The sequence below is a fragment of the Homo sapiens genome, chromosome 20 (assembly GCF_000001405.40).
Source record: "Homo sapiens chromosome 20, GRCh38.p14 Primary Assembly".
Classification (NCBI taxonomy): domain Eukaryota; kingdom Metazoa; phylum Chordata; class Mammalia; order Primates; family Hominidae; genus Homo; species Homo sapiens.
In genome coordinates, this window is record NC_000020.11 from 43,797,895 (window position 1) to 43,817,494 (window position 19,600).

Sequence of the window (19,600 nt, forward strand, 5' to 3'; positions counted from 1 at the left end):
ATGTGATTGTCCATGGGCTCACCTTTACCCATCACTCCTCTGGGGCAGATGCCAAATCATGTGTCTCGTGATGCAAGAGCTTCATGGGGGTGGAGCAGGGTTGGGTGCTGTCTAAGAGGGAATGAATGGCCCAAAGCTCCAGGTCTGGACAGTCTGAGACCCTCTTGCTGGGGAGTAGCGTTTTGGGAAAAATGAAATACACTTGGCTGGATCTGAAACTTTCTGTAGTTAGGTCTGGTTGGGTGGAAGGGGATCTTGGGTGGCCTTCAAGCCTTGGAGACCCCCAATCCAAGATCTCTAAGGACGTATACCTAGAACCTTCCAGCTTATCTGCATCGTCAGTGTTTCTCACTCTTCTGTGCATGCCCCAAGTTGTCTCTGCTGTCAGGCTGCAAGATTGTTGTGGAAACAGGCTGAGCCTATTCCATCTTGCTCAGTCACAGGGCCTTGTCTGGTGCCTGGCACACAGAGGGCTGCAGCAAGTGTTGGTTGATTTGAAATCACAGTTGAGCCTCCTGCCTCAGCATCTCAGTCAGTGCTCCATAGCCAGTCACGTGGCTGCCTACAAAGGAGAAGAAGATAAAAGAATCCCAGGTGACTTTGTGGGTTAAAGGGGTTTTAAAGCTCTTGCTTTAGAAGCTCAAGTAAAACTTTCATCCTGTGTTGACTGGATAAAGCATTCTGTCAGCCATCCGGGGCTCGTCTAGGACTGGGGGCAGGGGAGAAGGGAGAGCAATGTTGTCACTTTAATTGCATTGGCATAAATATTTGATATTCAATAAATTAGATCTGGAGCAAGGAAAACATTCTTGCAAATGGATTTTTTACCTGGAGCCCAGCCCCATTAGCAGAGGAGTAGAGGGCAGCCTGCCCCAGGGCCGGTAATTAACTCAAGTGGAGCAGAACTAAGCATTTTTGACAGCCTTCCTAGTCTGGAATTAACTGTCATCTTGGAGGGAGAAAGAAAGTACACTGTCACATTACGGGCTTATGAGAGGTTCTCCAGTGCTGCCAGCCCCCTGAGTTTACTTATGTCTCCCCTTCATGCCCTGCAATGTTATTTTCATCATTAGAGACAAGTTTAAAAGCAACTAACGATGTATTTTATATCCACGTACCAGAATCACAGATTTCACCAAAAGAGAAGACATTAGCATGGTAATTCAATTTTTTTTTCTTTTTGGCAGTTGTAATGAAACAAGATACAGTGGATGCTGTTAGAAGTCACAACACTGATATCTGGAGATAGTACAAGCTGGATTTTTTTTCTCCTCTCTGTATCAGCACTTGCCTGTAATGAGCATAGCTTAGCCACTGTCTGTGCTATCTCCCCCCGCCCCCACCCAGCGTTTATGAAAGTAGCAATTGCTTCTGAGAAAAGGCAAAACCGTTGGAGCCTGAAGCTCCTTCTAGAAGCCACTGCTTGTCTTGTTCCGTGGAAACTGATACTGTGGAAATTGGAGTTGTGCCGGGTCTGGTCCTGGCAATGTGTGCGCAGGCAATTTTTTATAAGGTTGCAGATCTCAGCCAGACTCTCAGCTAGGCTGGGTGTGAGGATGGCGTCTCCAGCGATGCTCAGCTGGCTTCAGAGGGAAGGGCTGCCTGTGCATTTGTATGTGTTGAGAGGGGTGAGCTGTGCAGCCTGGTACACAGATCATGAACATCTGCTTCTCTTAGATCTTCTGCCTACTACCACAGCAGTAAAACCACGACTCACCGCCTTCATCACTCAGCCTCAACACTGCTTCCCTCATGCCCTACAGACAATGGGAGCTGGAATCGCCCTTGATTTCCCCTTTCTGTCATCTTAAGCACAGTGGCCTGAGGCTGACCCTCCTCTTAGAACTTGACCCTCTTCCTCTGTCCGGCACCACTCCCTGCACAGTGGTAAGTCTGAAGATGTGATCATGTTCCTTCTCTGCTTGAAAGTCTCCTCAGCTTTGGCTTTCTTCTTGATGCCCCAGCAGGGGCCCCAAAACTTGGCTGTTCATTAGAATCTTGGAGACCCAGGCTGGCTGGACCAGAGTCCACAGAGTTCGCGCTCAGGCAGTGCGGAGGGCAACCCATGGTTTACAGGATCAAGCCCTAAAATCTTAGCCTAACATCTCAGCCTCAATGGCCTCCTCCCCTTTGGGCCCCAGAAGGCACGGGGCTCAGCCACAATCCTCAACCATGCACACTGCCCCTCAACTCTTCCCCTGGTCAACTTCCACTTATCCTTTAGGACTCAGTGAAATGTCACCTCCTCTGTGAAGCCTTCCCTAATTTCTCAGGCAGAATTATGGTCATTCATTCATTCGCCCATTCTCATTCAGCAAACACTCGCAGGATGCCTGCAGGTTCCACGTCCTGTGCTGGGTCCTGAAGATGACTTAGCAGCAAAAGGACAGATGCCAGGAGCTTTTCTGCTAGTGGGGAATACAGAGGAGACACGAGCAAAGCAGACAGAATCAGGGGAGGCTTCCTAGAGGAAGTGACACATCAGGGTGATCTGAAGGGTGTGTATGAGTTAGCCACAGGAGTGAGGGTGGGGAGAGGGGAAGGCCTTGGGTAGGAAGAGAGTGTGTTAGAGGACAGGAACGGTGAGACCAAAGCATAAACAGGCCAGGTTCCAGCCATCTCCCCGCAGCATGTGGTGTGTCTCCAGTGGGAGAGTGCTCAGTAGGTTTTTGTTTGTTTGTTTTTTATTTTATTTTATGTTTCTTTAGAGACAGGGTCTCGCTCTGTTGTCCAGTCTGGAGTGCAGTGGTGCAGTCATAGCTCACTGAAGCGTCCAATTCCTGGGTTCAAGTGATCCTCCTGCCTCAGGGGCCCAAGTGGCTGGGACCACAGGTGTGTACGACTGCACCCAGCTAATTTAAAATTTTTTTATAAAGACAGGGTCTCACTATTTTGCCCAGGCTGGTCTCGAGCTCTGGCCTCAAGTGATCCTCTGGCCTTGGCCTCCCAAAGTGCTAGAATTACAGGCATGAGCTGCTGCACCCAGCCTCAGTAGGTGCTGGTGGAGTGTAAAGTCAAGCGAGAGGGCCAGCTGTGGGCAGTGGTGGACATTGAGGTAGAAAGCCAATGTCAGGGATGGGACAGGATATTCCATCCATTAAGATATAGGCGATGGGGTGTCCTTGCACTTTAAAGATATATACATAAGTTTAGGGCCCTGTGAGGCTGGTATTATTATTTCCATTTCACACAGGTAGAATTTGAGGTTCCAAACAGTTAACTGACATGCCCATGGTCATTCAGCTAGTAAGGGGCAAAGCTGGGACTTGAACCCAGGCAGGGTGGCTCTGGAGCCTGTGCTTTTAACCCAGACTGTCCCATGCAGCTACAGCCTGACCTGGCTTCTCACCAGAGCTGGTCGTTCCTCTTTCACCCGCTCAACCAGCCCATGCCTGGCTCAGGGCTGTTTCCCGGCATCTGTGGGACATTTGAATTTTCAACGATGACGTTCAAGAGGGAAACAGAATTTTTGTAAAGAGAGTTCAGAACCCTTTGAGAGAATGACATGAGACCTGTGGTAGCTGTTGCATTACCTTCAGGTGTTGGGGAAATGCAAGAGTAGTCAGCTGCCCTCCTGAGAGCCAGGCCTGGGGAGAGCACAGTTCGGCACCCCCCTTGTTGCTGCTGGGCTCCCAAATGCTTGGGGAGCATTTTCTGTGCTCTGTCCATGTCAGCACCATATTTTATTAAGACATTATTGGCTGGGCGCGGTGGCCGGCCAACATGGCGCAACCCCATCTCTACTAAAAATACAAAATTAGCCAGGCATGGTGGTGCACACTTGTAATCCCAGCTACTCGGGAGGCTGAGGCAGGAGAATTGCTTGAACCCAGAAGGCGGAGGTTGCAGTGAGCCAAGATTGTGCCACTGCACTCCAGCCTGGGGGACAGAGTGAGACTCTGTCTCAAAAAATAAAATAAAATAAGATAAAATAAAATAAAATAAAATAAAATAAAATATATATACCCATTTACCACCCCCCAGATCTAGATATAGAACATTTTTAGATTTCCAGAAAGTTCCCTTGTGCCCCCTTCCAGTCAATCTCTGCTTCCCACCGCTAGGTAACCACTGATTTCTATCACTATAAGTTATCAGCTTTCTATCATTATATGTTAAATTTGTTGTGCCTGTGCTTGAACTTCGTATGATAATCATAGGCATATACTCCTATTTTGCCTGGCTTTATTTGCACAATATAACGTTTTTGAGATGCATCCAGTGTTGTTGCTGGTGGCAGTAGACTGTTTTTTCTCATTGTTGTCTATAGTATTTTGTTGTAGGAATACATGCAATTTCTCCATTCTTCTGTTGATGGACATTTGTGTGGTTTCCAGTGTGAGGCTATTAGGTATAAACTGCCACGAACATTCCCATGTAGTTGTGTCTGTGGACAGGCCGTGCTTCAGTTTTGACAGTCCAGGTGATAGTGGAACTTTCATCTCTTCAGCTTTCACTCCTAAAGACTTTCTAAAAATACCCTCATTTGCTCTCTCTCTACAGATGGGTGAGGGAAGAATAAAAGCCTCTAAGGAACAGAGGAAAAAGTTCTTGCTGGGAGATGGACATTAGTGCATCAGCAAATCTCATCCACTCTAGCTCCACAAGCTTTCTTTTTTTTTTTTTTTTGAGATAGAGTCTCGCTCTGTCACCCAGGCTGGAGTGCAGTGGCACGATCTCGGCTCACTGCAACCTCCGCCTCCCAGGTTCAAGGAATTCCCCTGCCTCACCCTCCTGAGTAGCTGGGACTACAGGCACCTGCCACCACGCCCGGCTAATTTTTTATTTTTAGTAGAGACGGGGGTTTCACCATCTTGGCCAGGCTGGTCTTGAACTCCTGACCTTGTGATCCACCCGCCTCGGCCTCCCAAAGTGCTGGGATTACAGGCGTGAGCCACCGCGCCTGGCCAACAAGCTTTCTTAAATGTGTCCGCTTGTCTCTGTTTTCCCAGCTCCCACTGGGGATAGGGCCATGTCCATTTCTTCCCTCCTCTCTGATCTGGTCTACTCAATTCTACACTTGCTACCCCCCCAGTTTATTCTAAACATGAGAGCCAGGGAAGTCTTTTCAATACCAACCAACCCCCAACCTTCCATGTACCATTAAGGCCCCCCAAAGCTTCCTTCTACCTTAGGAGAAACTTTAAATTCCCCATCCTGCACTCTAGGCCTGACAGCACATAGTTCTGCCTACCTGCCCTGCCTCCTATCCCTTCCCACAAGCTCCGAGTCTTTGCACTGGCTGTTCCCTCTGCCTGGAATGTGCTTCCCAAGGGAATCTGCATGACACACCCTGTCAGGACTCTTCCAATGGTACCTCTGTAGAGAGGCCTTCCCTGATCACCCAGTCAGACATAGCAGCCCTTTCCTCTAACCCACTAATCTGCTTTCTGTCTCTACAAATGTTCCTATTCTGGACATTTTATATGAATGGAATTATACAATATGTGACTTTTTGTGTTTGCCTTCTTTCATGAATCATAAAGTTTTCAAAATCCATTCATGTTGTAGAAGAACTCAGTACTCAACTCCTTTTTATGACTGAATAATATTCCATTGTATGGATATACCATAATTTATTCATTCATCAATGGGTAGGCACTGGGTTGTTTTCATTTCTTTGATTATTATGAATATGCTTCTATGAATATTTGTGGACATGTTTTTATTTCAACATGTTTTCACTGCCCATGGCTGTTTAATTAGTTCAATTGCTCAGTCCCTCTATGTTTAGTTTTTTCAGGAACTGTCAAACTTCTTTCCCAAAACAGCTGCATGATTTTACATTCCCGCCAACAACGCACAAGTCTTCCAATTTATCCACATCCTTGCTGACATTTGTTATTCTCTGTCTCTTGGATTATAGCCATCCTAGTGGATGCTAAGTAGTATCTCATTGGGGTTTTGGTGTACATTTCTCTCATAACGAATGATATTGAGCATTTTCTCATGTGTTTCTTGGCCACTTGTATATCTTTGGATGTCTAAGCCTTTCACTCATTATAAAATTGGATTATGTGTCTTATTATTGTTGAGTTTTAAACATATTTGATATATTCCAAATACTCTTCCCTTATAAGATACATGATTTGCAAATACTTTCTCTCATTCTGTGAGTTGTCTTTTCACTTTCTTGATAGTATTCTTTGGAGCACAAAAGTCCTAATTATTATTATTATTATTTTTTGAGACAGTCTCAGTGTGTCGCCCAGGCTGGAGTGCAGGGGCGTGATCTCGGCTCACTGCAACCCCTGCCTCCTGGGTTCAAGTGATCCTTCCGCCTCAGCCTCTGAATTAGCTAGGATTACAGGTGCATGTGCCACCATGCCTGGCTAATTTTTGTAATTTTTGGTAGAGATGGGTTTCTGCCATGTTGGTCAGGTTGGTCTTGAACTCTTGACCTCAGGTGATCCTTCCACCTTGGCCTCCCAAAGCACTGGGATTACAGGTGTGAGCCACTGTGCCTGGCCAAAAGTCCTAAATTTTGATGAAGTCTAATTTATCTATTTTTTTCTTTTGTTGCTAGTGCTTTTGGTGTCATATCTAAGAGATTCTTGTCTAATCCTAGGTCACAAAGATTTCTACCTAACTTTCTTCTAAGAATTTTATAATTTTAGCTCTTGCATTTAGATCTTGCATCCACTGTGAGTTAATTTTTATATATAGAGTGAGGTAGGGGTTCGATTAATTCTTTTTGTAAAGAAATTTTTTTGGCTAATTATCCTAGCACCATTTGTTAAAAAGACAATTTTACCCCCTCTGAAATTGTTTTGACACTTTTGTCAAAAATTAATTGATCATAAATGTAAGGGTTTATTTCTGATCTCTCAATTCTATTCTTTTGGTCTATATGTCTATCTTTATGAAAGTCTCACACTGTTTTGATTACTGTAGCTTTGTAATATGTTTTAAAATTGGGACGTTTCAGTCTTCGTACTGTGTTCTTCTTTTTCAAGGTTACTCTGCTTATTAAAGGTCTCTTGTATTTATATGTTAATCTTAGGATCAGTTTGACACTTTTTGCAGAAAAGTCTGCTCGGATTAGATTGAGATTGCTTTGAATCTGTAGAGCAATCAAAGAATTTTGCCATCTTAGCAAATTAAATCTTGCAATCCATAAACGTGGACGTTTTCCCATTTGTTTAGGTGTTCTTTAAATCTTTTCAAGGATGTTTTGTAATTTCAGTGTAAAAGCCTAAGTATTTTATTTTGTTGCTATTTGAAATGAAATTGTTTTTTAGGTTTCATTTTCTGGTTGTGCATTTCTAGTATATAGAAACAAAATTGATTTTTCTATGTTGATTTTGTATCCTGCAACCTTGATGAACTTGTTCAATTATTTTGTGGATTCCTTAGGATTTTGTACATACAAGATCCTGTCTCCTGTGAATACAGGCAATTTTACTTCTACTTTGGAAAAATGGATGCCTTTTATTATTTTTTCTTGTCTGATTGTCATGGCTAGACCTTCCAGCACAATGTTGGACAGAAGTTATGAGTGGAGACATCCTTGTCTTTTTCCTGATCTTAGGCATAAAATTTGCAGTCTTACACCATTAACTATGATGTTAGCTGTGGATTTGTTTGTTTGTAGATGGCCTTTACCAGATTGAGGATGTTTCCTTCTTTCTATTTTTTTTTTGAGTTTTTTTTTTAAATCATAAAAGGTAGTTGGATTTTCTCAGTTGCTTTTTCTGGGTCCTTTGAGATGATCGTGTGTTTTTTGTCCTTTATTCTATTAATATGGTGTATTATGTTGATTAATATTCATATGTTGAACCAATCTTGTATTCCTGGGATACATTTCACTAGGTCATGGTGTATAATTCTTCTTATAAGTTGCTAGATTTGGTTTGCTAGTATTTTGTTGAGGATTTTTATGCTTATTCATAAGGGATATTGATCTATAGTTTTCTTTATTGTCTGATGTCTTTGTCTAGTTTTAGTATCAGGGTAATATTGATCTCAAAGAATGAGTTAGAAGGTGCCCCTTCCTATTCTTTATTTTGGAAGAGTTTGTGGAAAGTCGGTATTAATTTTACTTTAAATGTTGGGTAGAACTCCCCAGTTAAGCCATTTGGTCCTGGGCTTTGGTTTGTGGGAAGTGATTTGATTATTAATTTAATTGCTTTATTTGTTATAGTTTCATTGAGATTTTCTATTTCTTTTTGAATTGGTTTTGGTAGTTTTTTTCTTCCTAGAAATTTCTCAATTTTTCTCTAGGTTATCTAGTTTGTTGGTATACAATTGTTCATAATATTCCATTGTAAACCTTTTTTTTTTTTTTTTTTTTTTTTTTGAGCCACGGTCTTGCTCCATTGCCCAGGCTGGAGTGCAGTGGTGCAAACATGGCTTACTGCAGCTTTGACTTCCCAGCCTCAAGCAATCCTCCCACCTCAGTCTCCATAGTAGCTGGGATTACATGGGTGGGCCACCACACCGGGCAAATTTTTGTATTTTTTTTTTGTAGAGATGGGATTTCTCCATGTTGTCCAGGCTGGTCTTGAACTCCTGGACTCAACCAATCCTCCCTCCTTGGCCTCCCAAAGTGCTGGGATTTCAGGTGTGAGTCACTGTGCCCAGCTTATAAACCTTTCTATTTCTGTAAGATTGGCAGTAATGTTACCTCTTTCCTGATTTAGTAATTTGAGTCTTCTCTCTTTATTTTCTCTTGTCAGTATAGGTAAAGATTTGCCAGTTTTGTTGATCTTTACAAAGAACCAACTTTTGCTTTTATTGAGTTTTCTCTATTATTTTTTATTTTCTGTTTCATTTATTTCTGCTCTAGTCTTTATTATTTCTTTCTTTTTCTTGTTTGGGTTAAGTTTGCTCTTATTTTTCTGGTTTCTTAAGGTGGAGGTTTAGGATATTGATTTGAAATCTTTCTTAGTTTGTTAATATTGACATTTCCAGCTGTAAATTTCTAAGCACTGCTTTAGCTGCATCCCATGTATGGTATGTTGTGTTTTCATTTTCATTCATCTCAAAGGATTTTCTAATATACTTGTAATTTCTTCCTTTTGGTTTTTTATTGATACATAGTACTTATATGCATTTATGGAGTACATGTGATATTTTGTTGCATGCATAGGATCTGTAATGATCAAGTCAGAGTATTTAGAATATCTATCACTTTGAGCATTGGTCACTCAGGAGTGTGTTAATATCCACGTTTGTGAATTTTTCAAATTTTCTTCTGGTAGTGATTTCTAATTTTATTTCATTGTGGTTGGAGAATATACTTTATATAATTTCTATCATTTTACATTTATTAAACCTTGTTTTATGGCCTAATATATGGTCTATCCTTGAGAATGTTTTATGTGCACCTAACAAGAACAAATTCTCTGCTGTTGTTAGGTGGAATGTTTCATAGATGTTAGGTCTAGTTGTTTATAGGATTGTTCAAATCTACTATTTTCTGGTTGATCTTCTGTCTAGTTATTCCATCCATTATCATAATGGGTTATTGAAGTGTCTAACTATTGACCTTTTGTCTATTTCCTCCTTCAATTTTGTTGGGTTTTGTTTCATGTATTTTGGAGCTCTGTTGTTAGGTTCATGTATGTTTATACAGGTTGATCTCCTTAATCAGAAAATCTGACATCTGAAGCATCTCAAAATCCAAATCTTTCTGAGTGCCAACATGACTCCACAAGGGACAAATTCTAGTCCTGACCTCACGTGCTTTGTGATGGTTCAACGTACCTGTATACAAACTTTGTTTCATGCATAAAATTATTTAAAACATTGTATAAAATTACCTTCAGACTATGTGTACAAAGTGCATATGAAACATAAATGAATTTCTTGTTTAGACTTGTGTCTCATCCCCAAAATATCTCATTATGTATGTGCAAATATTCCAAAATCTGAAATACTTCTGGTCCCAAGCATTTTGGATAAAGGATACAGCCTATAATTATTGTGTAGATTGATCCTTTTATTATTATAAAATTTCCTTTTTCATTTCTAGTAAAATATCTTTGTCTTACCATCTGTTTTATCTGATCTTAGTATAGCTACTACAGCTTTCTTTTAGTTACTGTTTTCATGGCACATTTGTTTCCATCTTTTTACTTTCAACTCATTGGTGTTTTTGAATCTAAAGTGTGTCTCTATAAATAGCACATAGATGAAAAATGTTTTAAAATCCATTCTGTCAGTATCTGCCCTTTGATTGGAGTGTTTAATTCATTTATATTTACTGTAATTACTAATAAAGTAGAATTTACATTTGTCATTTACTATTTGTTTTCTATATATGTTGGATCTTTTGTATTCCTCTATGCATCCATATTGTCTTCTTTTGTATTAGCTAGGTATTTTCTTGTGTACCATTAAAAAACCCTTTTTTTCCCCTTTACTATGTGTTTTTTGAAGTAAATTTCTTAGTGATTACCCTGGGAATTGTAATTAACAACTTATAACAATGAAGTTCAGATTAATCCCTTCTCAATTTCAATAGCATACAAAAACTTTAAAAAAATAACTCTATTACCTCCCTCCTACCTTGTGCTGTTTTTGTCATACTGATTACATCTTTATATGCTGTATGCCTATCAATACAGTTTTTTTATTAAGAGATAGAATTGGCCAGGCATGGTGGCTCATGCCTGTAATCTCAGCACTCTGGGAGGCCGACGCAGGTGGATCACCTGAGATCAGGAGTTCAAGACCCACCTGGCCAACCTGGCGAAACCTTGTCTCTACTAAAAATACAAAAAATTAGCCTGGCATGGTGGTGTGCACCTGTAATCCCAGCTACTCGGGAGGCTGAGGCAGGAGAGTCGCTTGAACCTGGGAGATGGAGGTTGCAGTGAGCCAAAATCACACGATCTCACTCCAGCCCGGGTGACAGAGTGAGACTCCATCTCAAAAAAAAAAAAAAAAAAAAGATAGAGTCTCATTCTGTCACTGAGGCTGGAGTGCAGTGGCAAGATCATAGCTCACTGCAGCTTTGAACTCCTAGACTCAAGTGATACTCCTGCCTCAGCCTCCTGAATAGCTAGGACTACAAATGTGTGCCACCGTGCGTGGTTAATTAAAAAATTTTTTGGTAGAGGCAGGGTCTCACTATGTTGCCCGGGCTGGTCTCAAACTCCTGACATCAAGCAATGCCCATGCCTCAGCCTCCCAAAGTGCTGGGATCACAGGTATGAGCCATCACACCTGCCCTCAATACAGTTTTGTAATTATTGCTTTATGAAATTGTCTTTTAAAACAAATAGAAGAAAAAGTTACAAACAAAAAATGCCTATACACTGCCTTTTAATTTACCTGTGTAGTTCACCTTTACTGATATTCTTTACTTCTTCATATTTATTCAAATTGTTGTGTAGTGTTCTTTTATATTAGCCTGAAGGACTCCCTTTAGTATTTCTTACGTGACAGGCCTGTTAGCAACAAATTCTGTCTCTTTTTTTTTAAATATAGGAAGTTCTTATTTTTCCTTCAGTTTCGAATGATAGTTTTGCTGGATATAGAATTTTTAGTTGACAGTCATTGTCTTTCAGTGTTCTGAATATGTCATTCCATTGACTTTGGCATCCATACTTTCTGACAAGAAGTCATCTAAATTAATCTTATTGAGGATCCTTTGTATGTGATGAATCACTTTTCTCTGGATGCTCTCAAGGTTCTCTCTTTGTCTTTGGGTTTTCACCATTTAATTATGGTGTGTCTAGGCATGGCTATTTGAGTTTATCCTACTTGGAGTTCACTGAGCTTCTTGGATGTGTAGATGAATTTTTTTTGTAACATTTTGGAAGTTTTTGCCCATTATTTCTTCAAATATTCTTATCGCCTTCTCTTCTCTACTTCTGAGACTCCCATGGTGTGTGTGTTGGTACACTTAATGGTGTCTTACACGTCCCTAAGGCTCTGTTCATTTTTCTTAATTCTTTTGAAAAATTTTTCTCAGACTGGAAAACCTCAATGGATTAATCTTAAAGGCTGCCTTATTTTTTATCTTTCCTGCTCAAATCTGCTGTTAAAATTCTCTAGTGAAGTTGTCATTCCACTTCTTATACTTTTCAATTCCAGAATTTCCATTTTATCGATATTTTCTATTTGGTGAGACATTATTCTTATACTTTCCTTTAGTTCTTTAGACATGATTTCTTTTGTTTTTTGAATATATTTAAAAGAGCTAATTTAAAGGCTTTGTCTATTAAGTGCAATGTCTGTGCTTCCTCAGGCACAGTTTCTGTTGACCACTTCTTTCCTGTATATGGGCCATACTTTCTTGTTTCTATGCATGTCTTGAAAGTTTGTTGTTGTTGTTGTTGTTGTTTGAAAACAGGACATTCTAAATAACATGTGACAACTCTGGAAATCAGATTCTTGCTTCTTCCTAGGGTTTGTTGTTTTTGCTGTTGGTTATTGTTGTCATTATTTGTTTATTTGGTGACTTTCCTGGACTAATTCTTAAAGTCTGTATTTTTTATTGTGTGTGACCACTGAAGCCTCTGCTCAGGTTAGCTTAGTGATCAGTTATCGATCAGGCAGAAATTTCCTTAAATGTCCAGAACCAGTAAGTCTCCCAGTCTTTGTTAAGGGGCTCTGTTTGCATGCTGGGGCACACTTTCAATACTCGGCCAAGCAATTTGTAACTCTGGTTTAGTCTTCACTGTCTGCTTGCAGAGAGGCTGAAGGTCAGCCAGAGGTGAGTGCTTAGGCCCTTCTCATGTCTTTCTTGATCATGTACACAGCCCTACACATATGTATGGCCTTCTTTTCAAAACCCACTATGGAATTTCTTTCTCTAGGTTTTCCTTTTAAGCTTTTTGGTTAGCTTGTTGTTTTCCCAAACTGTTATCTTCCCTTCAGGCATGTACAATGTTAAATAATTCTGCATATTGTTTTTGACAAAAGCCCCCAAAGGGGGAAAAAAGAATGTTCACAATGGATGAACTCTGAGTCAGGTCAAATAAAGACATGGCTTGTGAGTGGGATTTTGCAGGGGGCTTCCAGACAGGTCAAATAATGACAATTCTCTGAGAATGGAGGTTTAAAGGAGCTCCAGCCCCCTTCTAACTTCTCCAGGGGCTGGTAGGCTATTGGTTATTCCTGTGATTATAGGCTGTTAGGTTTCAAGGTTACTGTGGGCTGAAGAGCAGGAATGGGTTGAGGTCAAGTTAAAATGTCACAAAGCTCAAGGTTCTTATGAAGATTCATTGTTTTCCTTCAATAAATGCTCCTCAGATTGCTGTAAGCTTTGATTTGTTTCTAGAGTTCTGAAATAGTTGGTTCTGACAAATTCTGCCAGTGTTCTCATTGCTTTTATGGAAGAAAGAATTTTTGGAAGTTCTCACTTTGCCATTTTTTGATAATGTCACTTCTTTGTAGACAAGCATTGTCTTCTTTGTGACATCTTTTTGTTTTGTTTTGTTTTTTTTTTTGGAGACAGAGTCTTGCTCTGTTTCCCAGGCTGGAGTGCAGTGAGGTAATCTTTGTTCACTGCAACCTCTGCCTTCTGGGTTCAAGTGACTCTCCTGCCTCAGTCTCCTGAGTAGCTGGGATCACAGGCACACACCACCATGCCTGGCTAATTTTTGCATTTTTAGTAGAGACAAGGTCTCACTATGTTGGCCAGGCTGATCTCAAACTCCTGACCTCAAACTCCTGATCTGCCCACCTCAGCCTCCCAAAGTGTTGGGATTACAGACATGAGCCACTAGTGCCCAGTCCATCCCGTGGTTTTTAATGCCACTGTTAATATTCTCCAGCCAAATACCACCATGCATATCCTATATTTGAACAAAGTTGAGTTTATTGACCTTGCAACAAGAGAGACCACACACCCGGGGGAACTGTGAGGCACCTCATGAGAGGTATCACGAAGGATCCATTACAGGATTTGTGTCAAGTGATTTTGAGGAGGTTTCAAAGAAGCAAGGCTTTTCTCTGAAGTGGAAGCTTTCTGGAAGTGGAGGAAATTCTGTGATTGGATATTTTAATAAATCTTGTTTAGAAAGTGGGAAGAATGAAGTGCGATTAAAGCTGAAATTGGTAAGGAAGCAGCAGCCACCCTCATTAGCTAGCATATTGGGTATAGTAGGCTGAATAATGGCTGCCAAAGATATCAGGTCCTAATCCCTGAAACCTGTGAATGCTGCCTTAGATGGAAAAGTTGTCTTTGCAGATTAAATTAAGGGTCTTGAGATTGGGGAGATTATCAGGGTGGGTCCTAAATATGATCATAAGTGTCTTTATAAGAGAGAGACAGAAGAAAACTCTCTCTCTCTCTCTCTCTCAGGAGAAGGCAATATGAAGATAGAGACAATGGAGATTTTAAAACGTTGATTGGTGGAGACTGGAAAGTTGTGGTCAGAAGCCAAGGAATGCTGACAGCCACCATAAACTGGAAGAGGTGAGGAATGGATTCTTTCCAAGAGCCTCTGGGGAGGGAGTGCAGACCTGCAGACACATTAATTTTGACCCAGTGATACTGATTTCAAACTCTGACTTTCAGAGCTGTGAGAAAACATATTTCTGTTGTTTCAAGCCATGAAGATTGAGGTAATTTGGTATAGCAGCCTTAGGTAACTAATACAGAGGGTGTTTGTTCATTTTTGTGGTTTGGACAATGTCCTTATATTTGCATTAGTTAATGGGTTATAGATATAATCATGTTCCTCAAATTCATATGTTGAAGTCCTATTCCCCCAGTACTTCAGAATGTGACCTTATTTGGAAATGGAGTTGTTGCTGATGTAATTAGTTGAGATGGGGTCAGTAGAGTGGGCCCCTAACCCAATGACTGGTATCCTTATAAAAATGGTGAAGTTTGGACATAGAAACATACACATAGGGAGCACACCATGTGAAGATTAGAGTTATGCTTCTATAAGCCAAGAAAGTACAAGAATCTTGAGAGGAGCTTGGGACACATTCTTTCCTACTACTCTCAGATGAAACGTGGACCTGAAGTCACCTTGATCTCAGACTTCTAGTCTCCTGAGCTGTGAGATAATAATTTATATTTATTTATTTATTTATTTATTTATTTATTTATTTATTTTTGAGACAGAGTTTTGCTCTTGTTGCCCAGGCTGGAGTGCAATGGCGTGATCTTGGCTCACTGCAACCTCCACCCCCTGGGTCCAAGCAATTCTCCTGCCTCAGCCTCCCAAGTAGCTGGGATAACAGGTGTGCGCCACCACACCTGGCTAATTTTTGCATTTTTAGTAGAGACGGGGTTTCACCATGTTGGCCAGGCTGGTCTCAAACTCCTGACCTCAGGTGATCCACCCACCTCGGCCTCCCAAAGTGCTGGGATTACAGGTGTAACACGCTTCAGATATGAGTACAGAGTGGTCTAGCTTTTGTCTTGCTCCAGTGCAGTTACATAATGGCCCTGTCTGATGTTGGTGTTCTGCAAGATTGTTTATGTCCAACAAGAAAACACCAGGGCCCAACCATGGGTGCCAGGTAAGCTTCCCAATGCCAGGGGCTGCTTTTCTCTTTTTCACTACAAAGTCTTTATTCATCAGATAAATGTTCATTTTAGGTTGTCTTTAAGGGTTTTAACTAATTTATTTATTGATGTATTTATTTTTATAACAGGGTCTTGCTCTATTGCACAGGAGTGCAGTGGTACAATCATGGCTGTCTGCGGCCTCAATCTCCCTGGCTTAAGCAATCCTCCTGCCTCAGCCTCCCAAAGTAGCTGGGACTACAGGTGAGTGTCAACGTGCTCCACTAATAATTTTTTTATTTTTTTATTTTTTTTTGAGACGGAGTCTCGCTCTGTTGCCCAGGCTAGAGTGCAGTGGCGCAATCTCGGCTCACTGCAAGCCCCGCCTCCTGGGTTCACACCATTCTCCTGCCTCAGACTCCCGAGTAGCTGGGACTACAGGTGCCTGCCACCATGCTCGGCTAATTTTTTTGTATTTTTAGTAGAGATGGGGTTTCACCCTGTTAGCCAGGATGGTCTCGATCTCCTGACCTCATGATCTGCCCGCCTCGGCCTCCCAAAATGCTGGGATTACGGGCGTGAGCCACCATGTCTGGCCAGTTTGTATTTATTTATTTATTTTTAGTAGAGATGACGTCTGGCTATGTTGTCCAGGTTGGTCTTGAACTCCTGGTCTCAAGCGATCTTCCTGCCTCAGCCTCCCAAAGTGCTGGGATGACAGGTGTGAGCCACCATGCCTGGTCCAATTCTTTTTCTAAACATTAAAATATTCAATCCAGCTGCCGTTTATTTTGGAGTGGGGGATGGAGTGAGAAGTATGTGGCCTCAGGTAGAGGGCATGAGGTTCAAAGTGATTATAGGGGTGTTGGCGCTGAACTTGCTGAGGTCTTCATGGACCTGGGTGGTTGACCTGGCAGCCTGCTATGGTCTCAATGTTTATGTTCCCCGCAAATTTGTATGTTAAAATCCTCAGCCCCAAGGTATTAAAAAGTAGGGCCTTTGGAAGGTGATTTGTTCATGGAGGCAGAGTCCTCATCAATGGAATTAGTGCTCTTACAAAAAAGCCCTGAGAGAAACCTCTCACCCCTTCCACCGCGTGAAGACACAGCAAGAAGGTGTCATCTATAAAGTAGAAAGTGGGCCCTCGGGGAGGAGCCAAGATGGCCGAATAGGAACAGCTCCGGTCTACAGCTCCCAGCGTGAGCGACGCAGAAGACGGGTGTTTTCTGCATTTCCATCTGAGGTACCGGGTTTATCTCACTAGGGAGTGCCAGACAGTGGGCGCAGGCCAGTGGGTGCACGCACCGTGCGCGAGCCGAAGCAGGGCGAGGCATTGCCTCACCTGGGAAGCGCAAGGGGTCAGGGAGTTCCCTTTCCGAGTCAAAGAAAGGGGTGACGGACGCACCTGGAAAATCGGGTCACTCCCACCCGAATATTGCGCTTTTCAGACCGGCTTAAAAAATGGCGCACCACGGGACTATATCCCACACCTGGCTCGGAGGGTACTACGCCCACGGAGTCTCGCTGATTGCTAGCACAGCAGTCTGAGATCAAACTGCAAGGCGACAACGAGGCTGGGGGAGGGGCGCCCGCCATTGCCCAGGCTTGCTTAGGTAAACGAAGCAGCCGGGAAGCTCGAACTGGGTGGAGCCCACCACAGCTCAAGGGGGCCTGCCTGCCTCTGTAGGCTCCACCTCTGGGGGCAGGGCACAGACAAACAAAAAGACAGCAGTAACCTCTGCAGACTTAAATGTCCCTGTCTGACAGCTTTGAAGAGAGCAGTGGTTCTCCCAGCACGCAGCTGGAGATCTGAGAACGGGCAGACTGCCTCCTCAAGTGGGTCCCTGACCCCTGACCCCCGAGCAGCCTAACTCGGAGGCACCCCCCAGCAGGGGCACACTGACACCTCACACTGCAGGGTATTCCAACAGACCTGCAGCTGAGGGTCCTGTCTGTTAGAAGGAAAACTAACAAACAGAAAGGACATCCACACCGAAAACCCATCTGTACATCACCATCATCAAAGACCAAAAGTAGATAAAACCACAAAGATGGGGAAAAAACAGAACAGAAAAACTGGAAACTCTAAAACGCAGAGCGCCTCTCCTCCTCCAAAGGAACGCAGTTCCTCACCAGCAACGGAACAAAGCTGGATGGAGAATGATTTTGACGAGCTGAGAGAAGAAGGCTTCAGACGATCAAATTACTCTGAGCTACGGGAGGACATTCAAACCAAAGGCAAAGAAGTTGAAAACTTTGAAAAAAATTTAGAAGAATATATAACTAGAATAACCAATACTGAGAAGTGCTTAAAGGAGCTGATGGAGCTGAAAACCAAGGCTCGAGAACTACGTGAAGAATGCAGAAGCCTCAGGAGCCGATGCGATCAACTGGAAGAAAGGGTATCAGCAATGGAAGATGAAATGAATGAAATGAAGCGAGAAGGGAAGTTTAGAGAAAAAAGAATAAAAAGAAATGAGCAAAGCCTCCAAGAAATATGGGACTATGTGAAAAGACCAAATCTACGTCTGATTGGTGTACCTGAAAGTGATGCGGAGAATGGAACCAAGTTGGAAAACACTCTGCAGGATATTATCCAGGAGAACTTCCCCAATCTAGCAAGGCAGGCCAACGTTCAGATTCAGGAAATACAGAGAACGCCACAAAGATACTCCTCGAGAAGAGCAACTCCAAGACACATAATTGTCAGATTCACCAAAGTTGAAATGAAGGAAAAAATGTTAAGGGCAGCCAGAGAGAAAGGTCGGGTTACCCTCAAAGGGAAGCCCATCAGACTAACAGCGGATCTCTAGGCAGAAACCCTACAAGCCAGAAGAGAGTGGGGGCCAATATTCAACATTCTTAAAGAAAAGAATTTTCAACCCAGAATTTCATATCCAGCCAAACTAAGCTTCATAAGTTAAGGATAAATAAAATACTTTACAGACAAGCAAATGCTGAGAGATTTTGTCACCACCAAGCCTGCCCTAAAAGAGCTCCTGAAGGAAGCACTAAACATGGAAAGGAACAACCGGTACCAGCCGCTGCAAAATCATGCCAAAATGTAAAGACCATCGAGACTAGGAAGAAACTGCATCAATTAACGAGCAAAATCACCAGCTAACATCATAATGACAGGATCAAATTCACACATAACAATATTAACTTTAAATGTAAATGGACTAAATGCTCCAATTAAAAGACACAGACTGGCAAGTTGGATAAAGAGTCAAGACCCATCAGTGTGCTGTATTCAGGAAACCCATCTCACATGCAGAGACACACATAGGCTCAAAATAAAAGGATGGAGGAAGATCTACCAAGCAAATGGAAAACTAAAAAAGGCAGGGGTTGCAATCCTAGTCTCTGATAAAACAGACTTTAAACCAACAAAGATCAAAAGAGACAAAGAAGGCCATTACATAATGGTAAAGGGATCAATTCAACAAGAGGAGCTAACTATCCTAAATATATATGCACCCAATACAGGAGCACCCAGATTCATAAAGCAAGTCCTGAGTGACCTACAAAGAGACTTAGACTCCCAAACATTAATAATGGGAGACTTTAACACCCCACTGTCAACATTAGACAGATCAATGAGACAGAAAGTCAACAAGGATACCCAGGAATTGAACTCAGCTCTGCACCAAGCGGACCTAATAGACATCTACAGAACTCTCCACCCCAAATCAACAGAATATACATTTTTTTCAGCACCACACCACACCTATTCCAAAATTGACCACATAGTTGGAAGTAAAGCTCTCCTCAGCAAATGTAAGAGAACAGAAATTATAACAAACTATCTCTCAGACCACAGTGCAATCAAACTAGAACTCAGGATTAAGAATCTCACTCAAAGCCGCTCAACTACATGGAAACTGAACAACCTGCTCCTGAATGACTACTGGGTACATAACGAAATGAAGGCAGAAATAAAGATGTTCTTTGAAACCAACGAGAACAAAGACACAACATACCAGAATCTCTGGGACGCATTCAAAGCAGTGTGTAGAGGGAAATTTATAGCACTGAATGCCCACAGAAGAAAGCAGGAAAGATCCAAAATTGACACCCTAACATCACAATTAAAAGAACTAGAAAAGCAAGAGCAAACACATTCAAAAGCTAGCAGAAGGCAAGAAATAACTAAAATCAGAGCAGAACTGAAGGAAA

The 19,600-nt window shown here is 42.0% G+C and overlaps 1 long non-coding RNA gene across 1 annotated transcript in view, besides 3 other annotated features; it reads left to right on the top strand.

Annotated features, from left to right (window-relative positions):
• The window catches only part of LOC101927200 (uncharacterized), a 91,977-nt gene that overhangs the window by 68,976 nt on the left and 3,401 nt on the right, over window positions 1–19,600 (top strand). Inside the window, exons 2-3 of the long non-coding RNA XR_936741.3 lie at window positions 14,261–14,374; window positions 15,571–15,685. This is a non-coding gene — a long non-coding RNA (uncharacterized LOC101927200). The remainder of the gene's footprint in view (window positions 1–14,260; window positions 14,375–15,570; window positions 15,686–19,600) is intronic.
• Window positions 1,385–1,484: an enhancer, noted in NCBI's record as "active region_17913". NCBI's record gives its function as "activates an Ori minimal core promoter by ATAC-STARR-seq in GM12878 lymphoblastoid cells {active_cell/tissue: GM12878}" and the evidence as "EXISTENCE:reporter gene assay evidence [ECO:0000049][PMID:35858748]".
• Window positions 1,495–1,634: an enhancer, noted in NCBI's record as "active region_17914". NCBI's record gives its function as "activates an Ori minimal core promoter by ATAC-STARR-seq in GM12878 lymphoblastoid cells {active_cell/tissue: GM12878}" and the evidence as "EXISTENCE:reporter gene assay evidence [ECO:0000049][PMID:35858748]".
• Window positions 16,827–17,440: an enhancer, noted in NCBI's record as "H3K27ac-H3K4me1 hESC enhancer chr20:42443361-42443974 (GRCh37/hg19 assembly coordinates)". NCBI's record gives its function as "activates a minimal SCP1, AML or CMV promoter by ChIP-STARR-seq in primed H9 embryonic stem cells {active_cell/tissue: H9 hESC(primed)}" and the evidence as "EXISTENCE:reporter gene assay evidence [ECO:0000049][PMID:30033119]".